General features: G+C 39.7%; 1 protein-coding gene across 17 annotated transcripts; it reads right to left on the reverse strand.

Annotated features, from left to right (window-relative positions):
* Positions 1-2,857: 2,857 nt before the first annotated feature.
* Positions 2,858-22,350, reverse strand: ZNF677 (zinc finger protein 677). Of its 17 annotated transcripts, NR_169728.1 has the most exons (6): positions 22,107-22,300; positions 20,563-20,633; positions 19,013-19,082; positions 14,511-14,796; positions 11,221-11,374; positions 6,073-8,022 (listed from the first exon to the last, which is right to left on the reverse strand). NR_169728.1 is itself a non-coding variant. In NM_182609.4 (5 exons), the coding sequence occupies exons 3-5, from the start codon at positions 19,025-19,027 to the stop codon at positions 4,449-4,451; spliced, it is 1,755 nt and encodes a 584-aa protein (NP_872415.1). In that variant the 5' UTR covers positions 19,028-19,082; positions 20,563-20,633; positions 22,311-22,350; the 3' UTR covers positions 2,858-4,448. The 17 variants fall into 17 exon arrangements, 16 of the variants coding, with proteins under 16 accessions (NP_872415.1, NP_001372540.1, NP_001372537.1 ...); NM_182609.4 differs by lacking the exons at positions 6,073-8,022; positions 14,511-14,796; positions 22,107-22,300 and adding exons at positions 2,858-6,034; positions 22,311-22,350; NM_001385611.1 differs by lacking the exons at positions 6,073-8,022; positions 14,511-14,796; positions 22,107-22,300 and adding exons at positions 2,858-6,034; positions 22,311-22,350 and having other exon boundaries at positions 11,187-11,374.
* Positions 22,351-23,378: the final 1,028 nt, after the last annotated feature.

Raw genomic sequence — 23,378 nt, forward strand, 5'->3', positions numbered from 1 at the left:
AATCTGTATTACTGTATTGGTCCTGAGTCTCACTCTGTCACTCAGGCTGAGTGCAGTGTCAGTCATGGCTCACTGCAGCCTCAACCTCCCTGTCTCAAGCAATCCTTTCACCTCAACCTCCCGAGTAGCTGGGACTACAGGTGCATGCCATGACACCCAGCTAATTTTTTATTTTTTGTAGAGATGTGGTCTCACTATGTTGCCCAGGCTAGCCTCGAACTCCTGGACACAGGTGGTCCTCTCTCCTGAGCCTCTCAAAGTGCTGAGACTACAGGTATGAGCCATAGAACATTGCCAACTTTGCCGAAATCCAGAATGCTATCAAGAAAGTGGAAAAACAGTACACAGAAGTGGAAAAAGTACTGGCAAATCTCATAAGGGTGTAGTATTCAGAATATAAAATAACTCATAACTGAACCAAAAATACACAATCTAATTTTTAAAACATTAAAAGAAATGTCTGAGTAGACATTTCTCCAATGAAGATGCACATGGCTAATAAGCATAGGAACAGATGCTCAACATTCATCATTAAGGAAATCCAACCACAATGAAATATCACTTGTAAGTGACTAGAAGGCTATATACTACTACTACTGTGAACCCAACAACTACAAACATCAATAATCGATAGGAAGTGCAGAAAATGGAACACTGGAACATCGCTGGTAGAAAAGTAAAATGGTGCAGCTGCCTTCGAAAACAGTTTGGTGAATCCACAAAAAGATAATCACTGATAATTACTATATGACCCAGAAATTCCACGTTTACAGACATACCCAAGAGAAGTGAAAACATGTATGTGCAAAAACATCTTGTAAAAAGTTGTTCATAGCAGCATTTTCCATAATAGCCTAATTTCTTTTTTTTTTGAGACAGAGTCTCGCTCTGTCGCCCAGGCTGGAGTGCAGTGGCGTGATCTGGGCTCACTGCACGCTCCGCCTCCCGGATTCATGCCATTCTCCTGCCTCAGCCTTCCGAGTAGCTGAGACTACAGATGCCCGCCACCAGGCCAGCTAATTTTTTGTATTTTTAGTAGAGACGGGGTTTTGCCATGTTAGCCAGGATGGCCTTGATCTCCTGACCTCGTGATCCGCCCATCTCGGTCTCCCAAAGTGCTGGGATTACAGGCATCAGCCACTGCACCTGGCCCATAATAGCCTAATTTCAAACAGTAGAAAGAGTTCAAATCTCCATCAAATAATGAATGGACAGACAAACTGTAGAATATTATTCAGCAACAAAAAGTGATGAGGTATTAGGCTGGGTATGGTGGCTCACACCTGTAATCCCAGCACTTTGGGAGGCCTAGGCAGGCAGATCACTTGAGGTCAGGAGTTCGAGATCAGCCTGGCCAATATGGTGAAACCTTGTGTCTATTAAAAATACAAAAATTAGCTGGGCATGGTGGTGCATGCCTGTAGTCCCAGCTACTCGAGAGGCTGAGGCAGGAGAACCGCTTGAGCCTGGGAGGTGGAGGTTGCAGTGAGCTGAGATTGTGCCACTGCACTCCAGACTAGGCACCAGAGTTAGACTCTGTCTCAAAAAAAAAAAAAAAAAAAGTTATGAGGTACTAACAAATGTTAATTTTGGGTGGGTGGTATTTTTTATAGTGACAGTTTGCCCAGGCTAGTCTCGAATTCCTGGGCTTAAGCGATCCGCCCATCTTGGCCTTCCAAAGTGTTAGAATTACAGACATGAGCCACTGTGCCTGGCCTAGAAATTGATTTTTTTTTTGGACAGGGCCTTGCTCTGTCACCTAGGCTGGAGTGCAGTGGCATAATCCTAGTTCACTGTAACCTCCAACTCCTGAGCTCAAGGAATTCTCCTGCTTCAGCCTCCTGAGTAGCTGGCACTATAGAAATGTGCCACCATGCCCAACTAACTTCTAAATTTGCAGACAGGGTCTTGACATATTGCCTATGCTAGTCTCAAACTCCTGGGCTCAGGCAATCTCCTCGCCTGGGCCTCTCAAAGTGCTGACATTACAGATGTCAGCCTCCCTGCCCAGCCGGCTAGCTGAAAATTTAAACCACAGATGAGTATTCACTCCAGCCCCACCAGATAAACATCATAACACCCCAAGTCAATCATCTTTCACTGCCTTCTCTAGCCATTTTTTAACCAGCTTGGGAAGTCTACCCTGTTCTCTCCAGAAAGCCTTTTGTAATAAACATTCTTATAATACTTTGATGTAGAGTACCACCAATCCTGAAATCTAAACCAAACTTTGCACGGGGTTCCCTCCTGTTCCAGTGGAGTGGCGACAAGTGCAAATCAGTAAAAAAAAATGTTTTGGGGGTAAATACATGAGGTTTCTAGTTTCTTTAAAAAAAAAATCCATTGCTTATGTTCATTATTAAGGGGAAACTCATGAACACTGATTTTTTTCAAATTATTTCACGGAGTGCTCCAAGTACAAAAAAAGAAGTTGTGTTATTATTTCAGAAATTTCATTTACTAATAATTTTCATATGCTTACATTTGTTATTTTCCTCTCATGTAAAAGGCATGCAGAAATAAAGTTATGTAGAAAAAAAGGCATGTAGAAATATAACTGCACAGTGCATATTCATGAACAGGAAGACAGGTTTCAGGGGGTCTGATATTGTCCCACTATGGCATGGCATTTTCATTATAGCCATAGAAGTCATCTAGGGCAGAGTGTGGAGAAAATATTTCAAGTGCAAATTATGAATATATACTTCTTAAATTGTATACTGTTTGAACATAACATGGATAGAAATTGTTATAGATGACATTCAACCTTGAGAGTCTAATGATGTATTATAGTGTTTGATATTAAGTGTCCCAATGAGGTGGGATATGCTTGGGTTGACGGAAGGCACACGATTCATTCAGGGTTACTAAAAATGATTATATTTTACTAATTAAGACATAAGAAGTATAATATATTCTAAATAAAATGGTATCAAATGCAATCTCAGGGGCCAAATGTGAATCCCCTATAAGAACACTACTCTGGTTCTTTTGATGGAACTGTCCTCTATGGTAACCATTCTCTCTTCAGTTTCCAAAAATAAGACCTATCTATGTTCAATAATCTGTGATATGCAACAGTAACTACCTTTCAAGAGAGGGTGACTATCATTCCCCCTCCATTTCTTTCTACCACATATGCAGTCTCTAGTAACCGACCATTTCACTTCCATGAAAATCTCTCAATGTCCCACCCTACTCTTCTTGTTTCATGGTCATCTTGTACTGTAACCAATCTCTCCTATAATCGACAAAGGTCCCCAGTCACATCAACAATTCTAAGGGGTCCTGACCACATAAAGCATATATGTTAGACAATAGTTTTACCTCTCTTCTGGCACAAACCCCCATGCTCTTATAGTATATTGTATATTAGTGTTCTTGGCTGGGCACGGTGGCTCATGCCTGTAATCCCAGCACTTTGGGAGGCCAAGGCAGGTGGATCACCTGAGGTCAGGAGTTCAAGATCAGCCTGGCCAACATGGCGAAACTCTGTCTCTACTAAAAATACAAAAACAAAAAAACAAAAAACTAGCCAGGCATGATGGCGCATGCCTGTAATCCCAGCTACTCGTGAGGCTGAGGCAGGAGAATTGCTTGAACCCGGGAGACAGAGGTTGCAGTGAGCTGAGATGGTGCCACTGCACTCCAGCCTGGGTGACAGAGCAAGACTCTGTCTCCAAAAAAAGAAAAAATTAGTGTTCTTGCTTTTTCCAGGTTTCAGTAATATAAAGAAGCCACACCTAAGGAAGTAGTCCCTTCCATCTTACATCCATTCCTTGAGACAATCATGATAAATGAAAAGCATGCCATGAAGATTTAACAGCAACAGATTTCATACTTTTAAAAATATGAAATAACTGAATAAAAAATTTTTAACACTGAAGTTACATCTTTCCACAGATGTCCTTGCTCCTCTGACACACACCATGAGTTTGTGACTTTTTAAAATTGTCTGTGAATTTAACATCAATCACTTAATCTTCAAGAAGGAAAAAAGACTTAGTTCCCTCTAGCCTGAATTTTTGTATGACAAAATGCTTGCATATAAGGATGAATTTCCATTGAGAAATTTAAAATAATTTACCACCTTCACTTGTAATGCTTCTCTCCAATATGAATGGTGTATCCTGAAGTCAGAACATTGCTTAAAGGACTTGCCACATTTGTATGGTTTCCATCCTGAATGTCTTCTGTTATAACCATAATAGGGTAAATATTTTTATAAAGCTGTTCACATTCATTATATTTGTAAGGCTTCTCTACAGTAAGAATTCTATGATGTTCCACAAGGCTTGAACTTTGGATAAGCCTTGCCATACATGTTATCTTTGTGTGGTTTATCTCAAAGATGTATATTCTGGTATCAAGTGAGACATAAGCCATAGCTAAAGGCTTTACCACATTTTCGTTTTATATGGTTTCTTTTCACAATGGAGCCCCTGATGCTAGGTACAGCTTGAATACTTAATTTTTGTCTCATTATATTTGATATGTTTTTCTCTATTATAACTTTTTTGATGATCTCCAAGGTTTGAACTTTGGAATAAAGCATTACCATGTATATTATGTTTACAATGTTTCTTTTCAATGTGTATTTTCTGGTGTCTAGTGAGGTTTGCAAATTGGGTAAAAGCTTTGCCACATTCAGTACATTTGTAAGGTTTCTCTCCAGTATGGATTTTCTTATGCTGAGTAAGATTTGAACGTTCAGTAAAGGCTTTGCCACATTCAGTACATTTGTAAGGTTTCTCTCCAGTATGAGTTCTCTGATGACCCCAAAGGTGTGAACGTTTGATAAAAGCTTTATCACATTTATTACATTTGTAAGGTTTTTCTCCAGTGTGAATTCTCTGATGTTCCACAAGACTTGAACTTTGGATAAAAGCCCTGCCACACACATTACATTTGTGTGGTTTCTCTCCAGGATGTATATTCTGATGCCTAGTGAGATGTGAGCACTGCTTAAAAGCTTTGCCACACTCATTACATATGTAAGGCTTCTCTCCAGTATGGATTCTCTTATGTTGGGTAAGGCTTGAACGTTCAGCAAAGGCTTTGTCACATTCATTACATTTGTAAGGTTTCTCTCCAGTATGAATTCTTTCATGACCCCAAAGGTGTGAACGCTGGATAAATGCCTTACCACATTCATTACATTTGTAAGGTTTCTCTCCAGTATGCATCCTCTGATGACTTGCAAGATTTGAATTTTGACTACAGACCTTGCCACATATATTACATTGATATGGTTTCTCTCCTGTATGGACTCTCTGATGCCTAGTGAGGTTCGAACACTGGTTAAAGGCTTTGCCACACTCGTTACATTTGTAAGGTCTCTGTCCAGAGTGAATTCTCTGATGATTAGTGAGGTTCGAACTTTTGCTAAAAGCCTTTCCACAGTCATTACACTTGTATGATTTTTCTCTAATGTGTGTTCTCCCATACTGTGTATGTAATAAAGGGTATTTCAAAATCTTCCTATATTTATTACAAATGTTTTTGACACAAGGAGGAAGTGGTGAAACTGAGGAACTATTGATAGACTTCTCAACTGGATTACATTCATACATTTTCTCCCCAGTTTGAAATCTCTGTAGTTCAGCCAGCTGTGCCTGTAAGCTTAATCCAATTTTATTTTCAAAACACTTCACGTATTTGTTTCCGGCATACCTTATGTTATTTTTCAGTTTTAACAAATTCCTTATAAATGGCTTGTCATGGATGAAATACTGGTGTGCACTATCTCTTATAGAAACACTCTGCTTTAAAGAGAAATGTATTGAGGATTTATTATGTTGTTGATCTTTTCTGTGAGTGAGATTTTTGTTACAGGTCAAAGGCATTCCTTTGTAATTTTTTACATCATAGTCCCACAGGCTGTCAAACTTAGGCATATTTTCCCAGACTTCCTTGAGGTCAAAATTGTTGATGCCATGGCTTTCCTTTCTTTCTAATATCACCAGATGGTATAATTCCTCTTTATTATTTTCCTTTGGTGATAATCCCTTGCTTGTAAATCCAACAGAAATATCTGAAAGATATTAAAAAAACCACAGGCTTTCCATCAAATAGAGTTGCAAGGTAAATATTTTATTAAAATACATATTACAAGAAAGCTAAGATTTACAATGAACAGAGTTATGAAGCTTCTCAACTGTCTTTAAACGTTTAACAACACAAAGGGACTAGCTGTCCTCAATAAAGTAACACAGTAACAAAACATGTAACAAATTATTTTAAGCACAGTTTAAAACACCCTATAGCTAAAACACTCATACTATGTAAATCCACATAAACTCTGAAAGAAGAGGTATTTTTCCACCACCACTCCAAGGAACACGTAAATTGGCATAGCTATATGGTAGTCTCATATTTGAAGATAAACAAATAGTAATGCATTATTTAGTACATAATTATTACACACAAAAGGTAAGGCACAGCTCAAGCTTATCTAATAAAAAATATTTAAAAATGACAATTCATAATTGCAAACAAAACACTGAAAGAAAAAATTCGGAAGAATTTAATAAAATTTTGAATATTTACAAATTGCAAATGTGAGTACTTGTTATAAAACTACTTACACCCATGTAGAATGTGCATTTTGCAGCATTAACAATTTGTGCATGGTGGTTCTATTGCATAATATATACTGAAAAACCATCATCTGTAAATCATTACAAAAATAAATAAAACACTTTAGTAACCTGTGAAAATCTAACAGGCAAGTTAATGAACAACCACAATTACACAAAATTGTCAGTGAAATTCTAAAGAATTACTGCTTATGAACTACAGAAAAAACAGAAGGGACACACAATAGGAAAAATAATATGTTGAGAATCACTAAATTTTGAAATATCAGCTTCAGGTAAATGCACATTACTATAAAGATGAAGAATTAGGAGGGGAGTCTGAAATAATTTCATGCCTGCAGTTATATGACAGCAGTATATAGAGAAACTCCCTGACTAGGAAATGTCATCTAGTTTTCCAGTTCTATGGCCAAAAAATACATATAATGAAAGCTGTGTGCTTTAACATTTTATTATGTAGAGTCAGAGAAATGTTGATATGAAAAAAAAAATTACAAAAAAGAAAATATGTAAGATATAATGAAGGCAAAGGTCAATCTCATAAGAAACATGACAGACACTTGACATATCTTATTCATAAAGGTAACTTTTCAAAGCATACTAAATGCTATGCAAGTTACTAAGGTCTCTAACAGCACTAATTGATGTAAATCCTCTTGAGGTAAATTATCGCACCTTTTCATACCAAAACAAAGGGCTGAAGAGGTTTACATATCTATCCCTAACTCACAGAGAAAGCACATCTGAAAGCCAGAATCTGAACCTGTGTGTGCGGGCTAAGATGCCATGTTCACAGCATTAAGCACCACTGGCCACCCAGGGCAGCACGGATTATAAATCACAGCAAATACGAGGAGTGTAGGAAGAAATGTTTCAAGGCAGATTATGGGACCTGAGCTGTGTCACCTATAGTGTGACAGCACCACTGCTCTCAGATAGCATTTAAGTCACCTTATCTTGCACAAGTTGTTTAGACAGTGACCAGATCATGTTGCTGTCCTGAGTAAGCTGTCCTGTGTATAAGCAGGAGTCATTCTTTACACAGTGTGTGCAATGAAGGGATGTTATTCTGTGCTAAAAAGAAATGAGCTGTCAAGCTATAAAAAGACATGGAAGAAATTTATTTTATTTATCTATTTTTTGAGATGGAGTCTCGCTCTGTTGCCCAGGCTGGAGTGCAGTGGCATGGTCTCGGCTCATCACAACCTCTGCCTCCCAGGTTCACGCCATTCTCCTGCCTCAGCCTCCTGAGTAGCTGGAACTACAGGTGCCCGCCACCACGCCCGGCTTATTTTCTGTATTTTTAGTAGAGACGGGGTTTCACCATGTTAGCCAGGATCGTCTTGATCTCCTGACCTCGTGATCCGCCGGCCTCGGCCTCCCAAAGTGCTGGGATTACAGGCGTGAGCCACCACGCCCAGCCCTAGAAATTGAAATGCATATTATTAAGTGAAAGAAGCCAATCTGAAAAGGCCATATACTATATGGTTCCAACTATATGACATTCTGAAAAAGGCAAATCTATGGAGACAGTAAAGAGATCAGTGGTTGCCAGGTGCTGGGGGGAGGGAGAGATGAACAGACAGAGCACAGATTTTTTAGGGCAGTGTAATTATTCTGTAAGATACTATTATGGAGGATATATGTCTATTATATATTTGCCCAAACCCAAAGCATATACATAGAGTGAACCCCAACATCGACTATGGACTTTGGGTGATAATGATGTGTCAATGTAGGTTTATCAATTTTAACAAATGTACCACTGTGATGGGGGATGGTGATAATGGGGGAAGACGCTGTGCACGTGTGGGGGAACAGAGTATACAGGAAATCTAGTTTGCTGTGAACATAAAATTGCTAAAAAATAGAAAGTCTATTTTTAAAAAGTATAAGCTAAGAGTTGATATAAAGTTACAGGAAACAGAAGTAAAAGGAATAACTAATACTATCCTTTAACAAAGTTTTGGAGGTTATATATGTTTTGAGGAAACTAATACTCAGACATAAATACTCAAGGAAGAAATCTTCTGGTAAAACATATAAAACATCATGAAAGTATATGAAGCAGAAAAAAATATATATAATAAAACAATATTCATTCATCTCATGGCCCCACACACTGTAGATATAAAACAAAAAACACTAAGAGTATCATGAAAACATGTAACTGCTGATTAAATACATACAAGTTCATTTATACCAATGACATTGGCAAAATGAAAGTGTCAGTGGCTTAACCAAATTATACTGAACTTTAAAAATGTATGCCTAATTCAACTTTGTAAGCTCCCTCAATAAAGGCATAAAAATCATACTGAAGAAAAATGTACAACTGCACGTATGGGATGAATAATGTGGTATGAGCAACAGTTTGGTCAACATGTTCGCAGATATGAGGTTGAGAACTTGGAGAATGCTCTTCCCAGGAGAAACTCCTACACCTTGTACTGCTGGCTCCAAGAGGATGATCAGCATATATCTAACCAGCGTTGTCACACTGCCCTTGGGAGACACTGGAAACTCCACAGAAACCAGAAGGTCAGAAGCACTTATCCCTCCGGCTGTCCTGATTCTCTCTCAGCATACTGGGACATGCAGGCTACTCTACTCAGTGGCTTCAAGAGGCACCTCTATGTAGCAGAATGATACTGTGACAGATTAATTAATGTTCTCTTTCAAGAATGTTCTGTCACCAAGGAAACCTCTTCCATGGGAGAGTCCACCAAAAGTTGTCCATCGCCTATTGGTGGGTTATCACAGCAGAAAGAGAGGAAATTTCAGACTCTAGGAATGTGTACTTTTCTTTTTCTTTTTTTTTTTTTCGAGATGGAGTTTTGCTCTTGTTGCCCAGGCTGGAGTGCAATGGCGTGATCTCGGCTCACCACAACCTCTGCCTCTCGGGTTCAAGCAACTCTCCTGCCTCAGCCTCCCGAGCAGCTGGTATTACAGGCATGCGCCAACACACCCGGCTAATTTTTGTATTTTTAGTAGAGACGGGGTTTTTCCATGTTAGTCAGGCTGGTCTCGAACTCCCGACCTCAGGTGATCTGCCCACCTCGGCCTCCCAAAGTGCTGGGATTATAGGCGTGAGGCACCACGCCCATCCGGAATGTGTATTTCAAAAGCAACTTTCAGAGGCAAATCTTAGAAGAATATGGAATCAGGAAGACTAAGGTCTCCCTAAGTTCCCGGATAGAGTAGAAAGCTAGAAAAGGGAGAGAAATAAAAGGTACGGGAGTAAAATAAAAGGGTCGGATTTTGTAGGATTCTAAGGAAGAGGCAGTGTGCTCTGTCCACAGGCTGCAAGGTGAGAACCTAAAAGAATGAGATATATTCCCATTTTGGAATGGCAATCAAAAAGAGGATCTCTCTGTCAAGTCTTTACATTAATGCTGAGTAACAATCTCAAAAGCCTGCCCATTCCCCTTTAGACACATGTGGCAAAAGCAGAACTGAAGGAATGGCCAAGGGGCTTGAACAAGTAGAGAGACCGACAGTCTTTCAAATTTCAGGGAACCCCAGATACATTTTGGGGGAGCCACTGTTTTCCCATTTTCCTGAAAAGTTCTTGCAGGTATAAGAAATAGGAATAGAAATTGAATAGGTTCTGGAGCCAGGGCTACAAAGGCCCCAGCTCTGATCTGTATAGACTGAAAACCACACATCAGATGAAATTATATACACTAAAAGAGAGTCCTTAAAAACAGCCATTTCGGTCCCTCTCAAAACCAAGAGACCAAAATGGTCAGAGGGGCCAAACAGTATTGTAGGTCATGATAGCACCTTTGCTTTTGTGTCTGTATGAGTTGGGGCATCACGGGAGAGTGGGAGTTCAACCTTTTACACATTTGAATAACAGTATGTTGGGGGACAGTAGGAGCGGGTGTGGACCTTGCTTTGAGAGCTCATAAGAAATAAACTTTTGTTTTCCCACTGATCTTTCCCATTTGCAGAGTTTCCCAAACAATACTCAATGGAGTAGCTTACTCTGTGGCCATCTGAGCGCTTATTTGTGCTCACATTCCGACCTACCTGATTTTTTCCCTATTTTCACTTCACTTTCCATAGTCTAGGACTCTTTCCTGTGCTCCAAAATGAACACAATATTCAGCTCAGGAAAGATTTCAACTTATAAAGAAAAAAAGGAACATGGTATGCTGTGCTTTTCCTGGATACATTCCCAGCCCTTTGTTCAGCTACGAAGAGAGGACATTACACATGGGTCTGCAAAACTATTTCCCAAAACAATTTCATAAATTAGTCAACGGACTGCCTTCTTCTGAATGCTTAGGGATTATTTTAAATATGCAGACTCTGAAAAAACTACTGAATCAAAGGCACAGGGATAAAACCATGATACCAGACACTTTAAAACGTTTTCCATAAGGTTTTGTAAGTACTGATATTCTGGAACCACCACTCGTCAAACCTGATTATGCGCAGAACTTCTGAAGAAAGGGGAAGTTTAAAGTCTATATGCTACATTATGAAGCCTTTCCACTCTCAATCAAAAAGTTTCAATCTCCCCTTTTAGAACAGGGATCGGATTCAGACAAGCACATCAGGGCCTCCCAAGAGACTCACAAGGAAAAATGTAAAGATGTACAAGGGTGGTTACCATCTTCTGGAGGGATGTTATCCTCATCGAGAGAAAGCAGGTTCCTGTAGTTCTCCAACATCACGTCCCTGTACAAGGCCCTCTGGGCAGGGTCCAGGCACTCCCACTCCTCTTGAGAGAATTCTATGGCCACATCCTTGAATGTAAACAGTCCCTGAAATAAAAACACACTTCACCAAGTGGACACAGGAAAATTTCTTATTTTCACACAAAATGGCAGAAAAGAGGTGTACATATTCACTGATTTATGTGAGTTAATGCAAGCAACTTATATATCCCTAATTTTATTTTTTTTAAACTGAGATGAAATTACATAACATAAAATTAGCTATTTGAGGCTGGGTGCAGTGGCTCACACCTGTAATTTCAGCACCTTGAGAGGCTGAGGTGGGAGGACTGCTTGAGCTCAGGAGTTTGAAACAGTCTGGACAACGAAGTGAGACTCCACCTCTACTAAAAAATTTAAAAAATTAGCTGGGCACACTGGAATGGGCCTGTAGTCCCAGCTACTCAGAAGGCTGAGGTGGGAGGATCACTTGCACCTGGGAGGTGGAGACTGCAGTGGGCAGTGATCATGTCACTGCACCCCAGTCAGGGAGACAGAGCAAGACTTCACCTCAAAATAAAACAAATAAATTAGCCATTTTAAAGTACAATTCAGTGGCATTTAGTACATTCACAAAGTTATACACCACCACCTCTGTCTAGTTCAAAAACATTTTTATCAACTCCAAAAGAAATGCCGTACCCATTAAGCAGTCACTCCCCATGTGACTTTAACATGAAATAAGCTTACCCAAATAGGTAAGTGACTTGCATGCTGCAAACTATGAAATACTAATGAAGGAAATTAAAGCAGACAAAACAAATAAATGGAAAGATATCCTATGTTCAAGAACTTAGAAAATTAATACTATGAAAATGTCCATATTATCCAAAGCAATCTACAGTCAATGCAATCCCTATCAAAATCACAGTGACACTTTTTACAAAAATATAAGAAATAATCCTAAAATTCATATAGAACTATAAAGACCCAAAAGAGCCACAGCAATTTTGAGCAAGAATATCAAAGCTGGAGTATCACACTTCCTGATTTCAAAGTATATTACAAAGGTATGGTAATCAAAACAGTATGGTACTGGCATAAAATAGACACACAAAACAAAAGTACTAGAATACAAAGCCCAGAAATAAACTCACACATATACAATCAACTGATATTTGACAAGTGTGTCAAGAATACATAATGGAGAAAAGATGCTGTCTTCAGTAAATAGTGCTGGGAAATCTGTACACCCAAATGCAAAAGAATGAAACTGGATGCTTATCTTATGCCACAAATAAAAATAAACTCAAAACTGACTAAAGACTCAAGGTAAATTTACTCAATTTACCTTGCGTCTTTAGTTTTACCTGAAATTGTAAAACTCCTAGAAGAAAACATAGGGAAAATGTTCTTGACATTATCTTGGCAATGATTTCTTGGATATAACACCAAAAGCACAGGCAAGAAAAGGAAAAATAGACCAGTGGGACTACATCAAACCAAAACACTTGTGCATACCAAAAGAAACAACCAACAGAACAAAAAGGCAACTTATGGAATGGGAAAATATTTGCAAACTATATATCTGAAAAGGGGTTAATATCCAAAAAATATAAGTAACTCCTACAACTCAAGAGCCAAAAAAACTAATTACCCAATAAAAAATGGGCAAAAGAGCTGAACAGACATTTTTTCCAAAGAGAATATAAAAATGGCCATTAGGTACATGAAAAGGTGCTCAATATCACTAATCACCAGGAAAACGCAAATCAACAACATAATATGATCTCACATCTATTAGGATGACCACTAAAGAAAAAAAAGGACAAGCAATGTCTAGGATGTGGAGAAAAGGGAACTGTTGTACAATGTTGGTCAGAATATGAATTAGTGCAGCCACTATGGAAACAGTACGGAGGTTCCTCAAAAATTAAAAATAGGCCGGGCGCAGTGGCTCACACCTGTAATCCCAGCACTTTGGGAGGCCGAGGTGGGCAGATCATGAGATCAGAAGTTCAAGACCAGCCTGGCCAACATGGTGAAACCTCATCTCTATTAAAAACATAAAAATTAGCCAGACGTGGTGGTGGGCGCCTGTAATCCCAGCTACTCAGGAGGCTGAGACAGGGGAATTGTTTGAACCGGGGAGGCAGCAGTTGCAGTGAGCCAAGATTGTGCCACTGCATTCCAGCCTGGGCAACAGAGGAAGACTCCATCTCAGGAAAAAATAAAAATAAAATGACCGGCTGGGTGCAGTGGCTCACGCCTGTAATCCCAGCACTTCAGAAGGCCAAGGCGGATGGATCACACGGTCAGGAGATTGAGACCATCCTGGCTAACATGGTGAAACCCCGTCTCTACTAAAAACACAAAAAATTAGCCAGGCATGGTGGCGGGCGCCTGTAGTCCTAGCTACTTGGGAGGCTGAGGCAGGAGAATGGCGGGAACCCAGGAGGCGGAGCTTGCAGTGAGCCAAGATCGCGCCACTGCACTCCAGCCTGGGTGACAGAGCGAGACTCCGTCCCAAAAAAAAAGCGACCATGATCTAGTAATTCCACTTCTGGGTATATATCCAAAAGAATTAAAATCAGGATCTTGAAGAGAGATAGGTACTTCCATATCTATTGCAGCTTTATTCTTAATAGCCAAGTCATGGCTAAATATCCATCAAGGAATGACTGAATAAAGAAAATGTACACACACACACACACACACACACACACACACACACACACACACTCACACACACGAATATTATTCAGCCTTTAAAAAGAAGGAAATCCTATTTGCTATAGACTACCTGAATGAAAATGGAGTATGTTATGTAAGTGAAATAGGCCACACAGAGAACAAATACATGACTCCACTTATATGAGGAACTGAAAACAGTAAAACTCATAGAAACAGAGAATAGAATGGTGGTTGCTAGGTGCTGAGTGGGGAAATGGTGAGGTAGTAATCAGTTTCAGTTACACAAGATGAAAAAGTCTTAGAGATCTCCTGAATAACACAGTGCTTATAGTTAATCCTGTATTGTATACTTAAAAATTTGTTAAGACAGTAGTTCTTAGGTTGTATTCTTATAAAAATATGAAATAATAAAGACAGCAAGAAAAAAACTTTCTGAGGCAATGGATATGTTTATGACAGATTGTAGTGGTGGTGTCAGAGGTATATACTGATCTCCAAACTCATCAAATTGTATACATTACATATGTATAGGTTTTTATGTCAATCATACCTCAATAAGGAAGTTAAAATTCATTTAAAACTGAATTTTTCAGTTTTCCTTTTATTGATTTCCAGTTTCACTCGATTGTGGTGTGAGAATAGTTTTATAAGTTGTAGCTTTTTAAAATGTATTGAGACTTGTTCTGTGGCCTGACATGTGGTCCATCCTGGAGAATATGCTATGTGCACTAGACAAGAGTGCAGATTCCGTTTTTGCTGGGTGCAGTTTTCTTTCCGTGCTTGTTTGGTGTAGTTTACAGCAGCAGTGTCCAACCTTTTGGCTTCCCTGGGCCACACTGGAAGAGGAAGAATTGTTTTGGGCCACACATAAAATACACTAACACTAATGACAGCTGATGACCTTAAAAAAAAAAAAATCACAAAAAAATCTCATGTTTTAAGAAAGTTTAAAAATTTGTGTTGTGTCACATTCAAAGCCATCCTGAGCCACATGCAGTCTGTGGTCCGTGGGTTAGATAATCTTGGTTTAAAGTGTTGCTCAAGCCCTTTATTTCCTTACTAATCTTCTGTCTGGCTGTTCTATCCATTATTAAACAGAGAGCATAGAATTCTCCAACTATTATAGCAGGACTGTATCTCCTTGTAATTTTTGTTCCAAAATATTTGGGGTGTTGATATTTGATCCATATTTTTTATAGCAGTTACATGTTCTTGATGGATTAACCCCAATATTTACTGTCCTTCAACATCTCTGGTATCAATTTTTGACTTAAAGTTTATTTGGTCTGCTATCTATGTAGCTATCCAGCTAGGTTTAATATTTGCATGAAATACCTTTTTACATCCTTTTATTATACTTTCCAGGCTATTTGTGTTTAGCTCTAAAGGAAGTCTTTTATAAACATTATATAGTGAAATCATAGTTTTAAAAAATTATTCCTCCAATAAGTGCCTTTTAAAGGAGAATTTAATCCACTTATATTTAAAGTAACTACTGATAAAAGAACCACTTTTACCATTTTGCTACTTGTTTTTCACATGCCTATCTTTTTTGTTTTGTAATTATTCCCTTACTTGCTTCTTTGTGTGTATAAGTTTGTGTGTGTATATCATTTCGGTTCCCTTCTTTACATTTTTGTTATTTTCTTAACGGTTGCCCTGGGAATTAAAATTTCCATCAGAAGCTGATAATAATTAAGTTTCAATCGATGCTAAGTTGGCTTCAATTGCATAACAACTTCTGTTTCTATATAGCTCTGGCTGGTTCTCTTTATAATGTCAAAAATTACTTCTCTATGCATTTTATAGCCAGTAACAGATTTACAATTACTGTTTTATACATTTTTAAATCATATAGAAAAAAAGTTTTTAAAAAACCAGTAATATTGGCTTTTGTATTTGTACCTACGTAGGTGTTTTACCTGTATTAATTTGTTTTTATGGCTTTAAGGTACTGCTGGTGTCCTTTTACTTCAGCCTAAAAGACTTTGCTTAACATTTCATGCAGGGTAAGTCCACTAATGCAAACTCCCTCAGCTCTTGTTTATCTGGGGATCTCAATTTCACTGTCAATTCTGAAGGATAATTTGCCTGATACTGAATTCCTGCTGGATAGTTCTTTCGTTTCAAACTTTGAATATGTCATTCCACTAATGTCTAGCCTCCATAGTTTCTGATGAGAATTTGGCTCTTAATCTTTTTGAGGGTCACTGTACATGACAAATTATTTCTATGTTGCTACTATCATGATTCTCTTTTCCTTCCACAGTTTGATTATGTGTCTTGCTGTGGATCTCTATAAGTTTATCACAATTAAAGTTCACTGAGTTTCCTAGGTATACAGATTCATGTTCTTTATATATTTGGGAGGTTTCAGTTCTTATTTCTTCAAATATTCTTTCTGCCTTTTGCTTTCTCCTTTTCTTGGAAAATTCTTATTAAGCATACATACATATGCTTCATGGTGTCCCAAAGCTTTCTTATATTGTATTTTTCTTCCCTTTCTTCTGCTCAGATTAAATAATTTCAATTAACCTAAAGTTTAGGTTAGCTGATTCTGTATTCTGTCACTCTACTCTTGAAACTTTATAGTTGAAATTTTCACGTTATACTTTTCAGCTCCAAAACTTCTATTTCACTTCTTTTTAATAATTTCTATGTTTTTACTGATATTCGTTGAAACACTGTTGTCCTACTTTCCTTTAGTTCTTTGTCCACCGTTTACTTCAGCTCTCTAAGCATGGTTAAGATAGTTGATTTAAAGTATTTTTTAGTAAGTGTAATGTCTGAGCTTCCTCAGAAGCATCATTAAGCCAGTAATCATGCTTCAAATTGCCCAACCTGGAGGAATCCTCACACAGCTGTAGTACAGTTGGCCTGCTCAGAGGCAGCCAATGCGGATTCTTTGTAATGGAGAAAAACTGTAAACAACCAATGTGTCTTCAGTAAGAGAATGCTCCAATGAGAAAGTAAAAACTCAAGCTGTCTCTGTTTACCAGCAAAAAACCAAAACAAAGACATACAGTATACAAATATACAATTTTGCAAAACAGAATATCACAACAAAATATTCACTAAACATTTTCTAAAATTAAATTATGATTTTTACGACTTCTCTTCCATTGAAAAGAATGATCAGTAGTTCCTGATGGAGATAGTGGGTGATGGTGGACTGGACAACATAATGTTTTACTTTTTAGTCCCTAAGCATCACTGCATGACATTTTATCATAAAAAATATATATATCATGTGATGTTTACTACAAAAGAAATGTAGTATTTAACAAGTAGTGTAATCAGAATTTGGCTCCTGCCTCTCTGATGACAGAAAGTTCTGCTCACAGGTCTTAGCTATATTATAGCCATCTTTTGGCTATTATTTTTTAATTATTATTATTATTTTTTTGAGATGGAGTTTTGCTCTTGTTGCTCAGGCTGGAGTGCAACGGCACAATCTTAGTTCACTGCAACCTCTGCCTCCCGGGTTCAAGCGATTCTCCTGCCTCAGCCTCTCGAGTAGCTGGGATTACAGGCACGTGCCACCATGCCCAGCTAATTTTGTATTTTTAGTAGAGACGGGATTTCACCATGTTGGTCAGGCTGGTCTCGAACTCCTGACCTCAGGTGATCCACCCGTCTCAGCCTCCCAAAGTGCTGGGATTACAGGTGTGAGCCACTGCACCCAGCCCCTTTTAGCTATTATTAAAAAGTCAAAAAAATAACAGATGCTGGTGAGGTTGTGGAGAAAAAGGAACACTTACACACCATTGGTGGAAGTGTAAATTAGTTCAACCATCCTGGAAGACAGTGTGGTGATTCCTCAAAGATCGAAAAACAGAATTACCATTCAACCCAGCAATCCCATCATGCGTGCATGAACATACACATACGTGCATATGTTCACTGCAGCACTAGTCACAATAGCGAAGACATGGAATCAACCTAAATGCCCACCAATGGTGGACTGAATAAAGAAAATGTGGTACACATACACCACGGAATACTATGTAGCCATAAAAAAAGAGATCATGTCCTCTGCAGGGACATGGACAGAGCTTGAGCCCACTATCTTTAGCAAACTAACACAGGAACAGAAAACTAAATGCTGCATGTTCTCACAAGTGGGAGCTAAATTATGAGAACACATGGACACATAGAGGGAAACAACACACACTGGAGCCTATCAGGGATGGAGGGTGGGAGGAGGGAGAGGATCAGGAAAAATAACTAATGGGTACGAGGTTTAATATCTGGATGATGAAATAATCTGTCCAACAAACTCCCATGACACAAGTTTAGCTATATAACAAACCTACCCCTGGACTAAAATTAAGAAAAATAATAAATTACAGACATTTTTATCTAAACACCCACTGCATGAGAATTCCCAAATGAACAGGAGAGTCTTCATGAGATGGATGCACTGTGAAGAATTTAAAGAACCTCCTGCTGTTAAGACAACTATGTTGATTTAATATTTTAAAACCAATTATGAAAAAAGACTACCTTCTCCATCCCCAATGTCTACTTCTGAACTTCCCATTCTATTTCAAATTAATATTTTAGAGCCAGAAACACACTGATTCAATTGTTTAGCTACAAATGTATTATAAACTCAAGCTAAGCAAGTTTCCCCCAACAGTCTTCTTTTTCAAAGTTTTCCAGGTATTTGTGCACATTAATATATCACTTCCATATGCAGCTTCTTTAATCCTGGTTTATAAAGAGATGAAAGGGTATCCAAATGAAGTCTCTAAACAGTCACTACCACCCAACCTCACTGACACCATGGAGCCTGCCCCCCATACCCAATCCATGCCTAGGCATAAAACCCTTTCCAGAACAATCATCTAAACGGAGCCTTTTCCAAAGTTCCGTGTTACCGGGTCACAGTGAGATGGAATCTATGTGGAGATGGAATTGAGGGAAAGCCCTGGGTGTGAATATACATATTAGTCAGGACACTTCAGAGTCAGATAAAATTAGCAAGTCCAAAATATGGCATTTCAGGAAGGAGAGGACAAAACAGTGAACCAAGAATATAACTTTTACCTGAGAAAGAGCCATTCCCTCCTCTTCTTTCTTTCCTCTTCCTCTGAGTTTCTTTCTCAGGTAAGTCAGTCTGTATGTCAAAAATATGTTGTTTAATGCTTAAAATCAACACACCCCCTGCCTCTACCACACACACACAGGAAGAGGCTTGATATAGAAAAAAGATGGTCCTTAGCTTCCAATTGCAACAAGAGTGAAAATAAACTCATGAAAAAAATTAACTCCTAAACAGAGACTAAGGAGTTATTCCACCTATGTCTTCAAAAAGTTCTCCCTTCTTGCTGAAACCCACACATTCTGCATCAATTGCATTGTCCTTTGTCCACCTGACACTCAGCCAAGAAAAACTGTTGTGTCCAAGTTCATGGCCAGTATCCAATGACTGTCAGTCAATGCAGGATATAAAAGCCTAAAATTGGAACAGGTGAAGAGCCACCATAGCTCCACGAATCCCTGCTGTAGCCATACTAAGTAGTTTAGACTTTTGTCCCACAGGCAGGGGGAAAGCATAAAAAGATATAACGCCAGGAGATGACATAATAAAACTTAAGACTTACTTCTGATGTAGAGATAGGGAGAAAGAATAAAAAGCTGAGAGAGAAGCAGCTCTCCTATCTCTAACCCTATGCCCCGACCCCTTTCCTAGTAGTTTCCATCATTTTTGGAGGTCTCAGAGTCATTTAAGACTAACTGTAACTGGGCACCCTCTCTCAAAAAATTGCCACATGCAGACACATGCTCAATCCTGAAAATCATTTCAGGGATCCCATCGGCTCAGATTCAGAATTTCTGGTATACCCATCATCTCCACGTTACAGGTGGGCACACTGAGCCTCAGAGAGAGGAGATATTTCACCAAGTTACCTGGAAAAGGTCTGAGTTGAGTGAGCAGAACTCAGTTGTAAATGAATGTTGAAATGGTGGCCTGGATAGGGCAGTAGCAAAGGTTTGTCCTTATTTCCAGATCACCATTCACATTCCTGAGTAGAAACTTCTATTTCATGGGTTTAATTGATCCCAAGGATTTAACTCTTTTCCAGAAAAATATTCAAAAATATGAAATTACAAATAGCTATTACTCTTGGAAAGCATGAAAGGGGGTCAGCTGTGGAGATTAGTGCTGAGTAATCTCTTCATTATGAACAGACGGGCTCTGTTGGAACAAAATTCCACACCAATCCAGGCCATTCTTCAACATCTTGCAGAGAAAGGACAAAGGGGACCTGGAGGAACATCTACTTAGTGGGAGGCTTTTAGATGACATAAGGGAGTAAAGAAACTGAATACAGCTGAGCCTTGAGCAACACCAGTAGTGATGGGGTGCTAATCGCACCCCACCTCCAGTCAAAAATCCAGGTATAACTTTTGATTTCCCAAAAACTTAACTACTGATAACCCATTGTTGACCAGAAGTCTACTGAAAACATAAACAGTTGATTAACACATATTTTGTATGTTACATGTATTATATACTGTATTCTTATAAAAAAGTAAGCTAGAGAAAAGATAATGTGATTAAGAAAATCATAAAGAAGGGAAAATATATTTACCATTCATTAAGAAGAAGTGGATCATCACAGTTCATCTTCCTCGCATCCTCCCCGAGGTCATATTGTGTGGGCTGCAGTGGAAAAGGAAGAGAAGAGGTTCATTTTGCTGTGTCAGGAGTGGCAGGGGTAGAAGAAAATCCCCTGTATAGTTGTACCTGCTTAGCTCAAACTGGTGTTGTTCAAGGTCAACTGTATTAAACTAACTGGTTAAACCAGATTTTAAGTGGTAAAAGATTATCAACACCTTAGAGTGAAACACTGTGAAATCAAGTACCAGACATAAAAGAATAGTTCCAATATATGATAAAAAGTAGAAAGCATTTAGGCCAGGCGCGGTGGCTCACGCCTGTAATCCCAGTGCTTTGAGAGGCGGAGACAGATCACCTGAGGTCAGGAGTTCGAGACCAGCCTGGCTAACAAGGTGAAAATCCCGTCTCTGCTAAAAATACAAATTCACCGGGCATGGTGGCGCATGCCTTTAATCCCAGCCACTCGGGAGGCTAAGGCAGGAGAATCGCTTGAACCCTGGAGGCGGAGGTTGCAGTGAGCCGAGATCAAGCCACTGCACTCCAGCCTGGGTGACAGAGTGAGACTCCGTCTCAAAAAAATAAATAAATAAATAAAAGAAAGCAAAAGAAAGCATTTAAACCTCATAAGCTGAACAATACATTTAAGAGAAAATACTTTGAAAATTTTTTTTAAATCCAATAAATTATGGAATTACATTTAAGACAAGTTGAATACACGTCAAATTTAGAAAATGACACAAGCCACACACAAAAAAGGAGGGAATAATATTGTTAATGTCTGTTTGCAAAAGCAGCATACGGTGTCACAGTTTCTTCCCATTTCTTGACTCTCCTCAAGATCAGAGAAAGGGAAGAGGGTGAGCTGGAATTAACTGAGCTAAGTCAGTTAACCCTCTGGCTGAATAAGGGTTGCTTCTGATGTAATAATTAGAAAACGCAGAAGCCTCACACCGTAGTTTTGCAATTTTCATGCTCTTCTGCACAAACAATGAAGCAAATTTTAAATTAATTATAGAGCCATACATCAGTACTTCACAACTTAATGTTCCATATTAAATCAATCCACACTCACATGGATTTGGGTGCCCCCCCCTTTCTCCACCATTATGTGATTTTTTTCCCCCTCTCTATAAATGTTTCTCTTCCACCTTCTGTTTCTTTCCTTTTCTTTTTCCCATTTCGGCGTTTTCCTGTCCCTTTCTGCTCATTTGGCTTCCCTTCCTCTCCTTCTCTGACAGAGTGTTTGGCCCCATCCTGGTAGCATCCTTTTTTTCAGTCCCTGCTATTGTTTCTGATGGCTCTCTAATTTCGCGCATTTCTCCCTCTTTATCCTCCATTTCTGCTTCCCCTCTGTTCTCCCTGGAGAAGGGCGAAGGGTGTGTATCCACCCCGAGTGAGGGCTTTACCAGGGGGAGGGAAGAGGGAGTCAGAGAAGAGTTTTAAGCAGAGAAACGACGCGGTGGGCGGTCGGTGTCCACACTGACCTAAAGCAAAAAGGTCGGGGCCAGTACCCACTTCAGAACGATTTTAATCCGAAATGGACGCAGATCTCTAGACCCTCTCGGAGCGACGGGACTGGGAACGTCTTAGGGCCACGCCGCGAGAGGAATGAGCAGGTTCGGGGTTTTAACCTACAGGGCGACCCCAAAACCCGACAGCGGAGCGTGGGAACCTGTGGCCCGCGAGGCGCAGGCTTGAACCCGAAAGACGGAGACTCACCCGAGAGCGCCAGTAGCCCCGCGAGATCCGCTTCCGGGTCGGCAGGAACCTGCGCGTACGCGAGTGCACTGGGGCGGCGCAAGGGGCAAGGGCAGGGGCAGGGCGCGGACAACTGTGGGGATGGGCGGGCAAATGGCGGGGATGGGCGGGGACAATGGCGGGATGGGCGGGGACAATGGCGGGATGGGCGGGGCCTAGGGGTCGGACTGCCGGACCTCTCCTCGGCGCGTCCCAGCGACTTTTTTAGGCCTGTTTGTCGCCCAGCAGTACTCGATTCTTCACTTTTGGATTCCCTTGAATCTCTATGGTGTCCTTTGGAGCCTAGCTAAGTAAAAAATTAGAGACCTGTGGGCCCCTTATATTGGAATCGGAGCTTAAGATGGGAAAGGTTTGCTTGAAAACGTTTCTGCGAGCGATGGAGGCGCGTCCTGCGACGAGGCGGGAGGAGCGCTGGGACCTGGTGGATGGGAGAGGGCGACGGTATAAGGAAGCTCTTGGATCCAGGAACTTCTGAAATCCGGACGATTAAAATTTGTATTTAATTAAGCGAAAGCTGGAGTTGTCTGCGTAGGTGATGGAAACTGGAATGAGATGCATTTTTGTGCCTGTGCGGAGTGTACAATTTTATATTGACTTTCACTGGAACGTAATTTTTATTTCCGCTCCCCAGTCACCCAGGAGGCAGAGATGCACCATGGGCTGAGTTCCAGAGAATTTATGGGGTCAGACCCTGGGCGGTGGGGGGTGGAAGGCTGAGGCTTGGCTTTAAAAGAACGCAAAGTTCTGCTTGTATCGATCTAAATTTATTTTCCTTTATTATCCTAATGCACATTTCTTGAGATAAATTACAAATCCAAGTGCTGGATTTATTGGAGTTGGTATGTTGTGTTTTGTCTAAGTTATTAATTACTAATATACTATCGTTATTATTATTTTTATTATTATTTTGAGATGGAGTCTCTGTTTCCCAGGCTGGATTGTAATGGCGCGATCTCGGCTCACGGCAACCTACGCCTCCTGGGTCAAGCGATTTTCCTGCCTCAGCCTCCCGAGTACCTGGGACTACAG

Source organism: Homo sapiens, chromosome 19 (genome assembly GCF_000001405.40).
Source record: "Homo sapiens chromosome 19, GRCh38.p14 Primary Assembly".
NCBI lineage: Eukaryota > Metazoa > Chordata > Mammalia > Primates > Hominidae > Homo > Homo sapiens.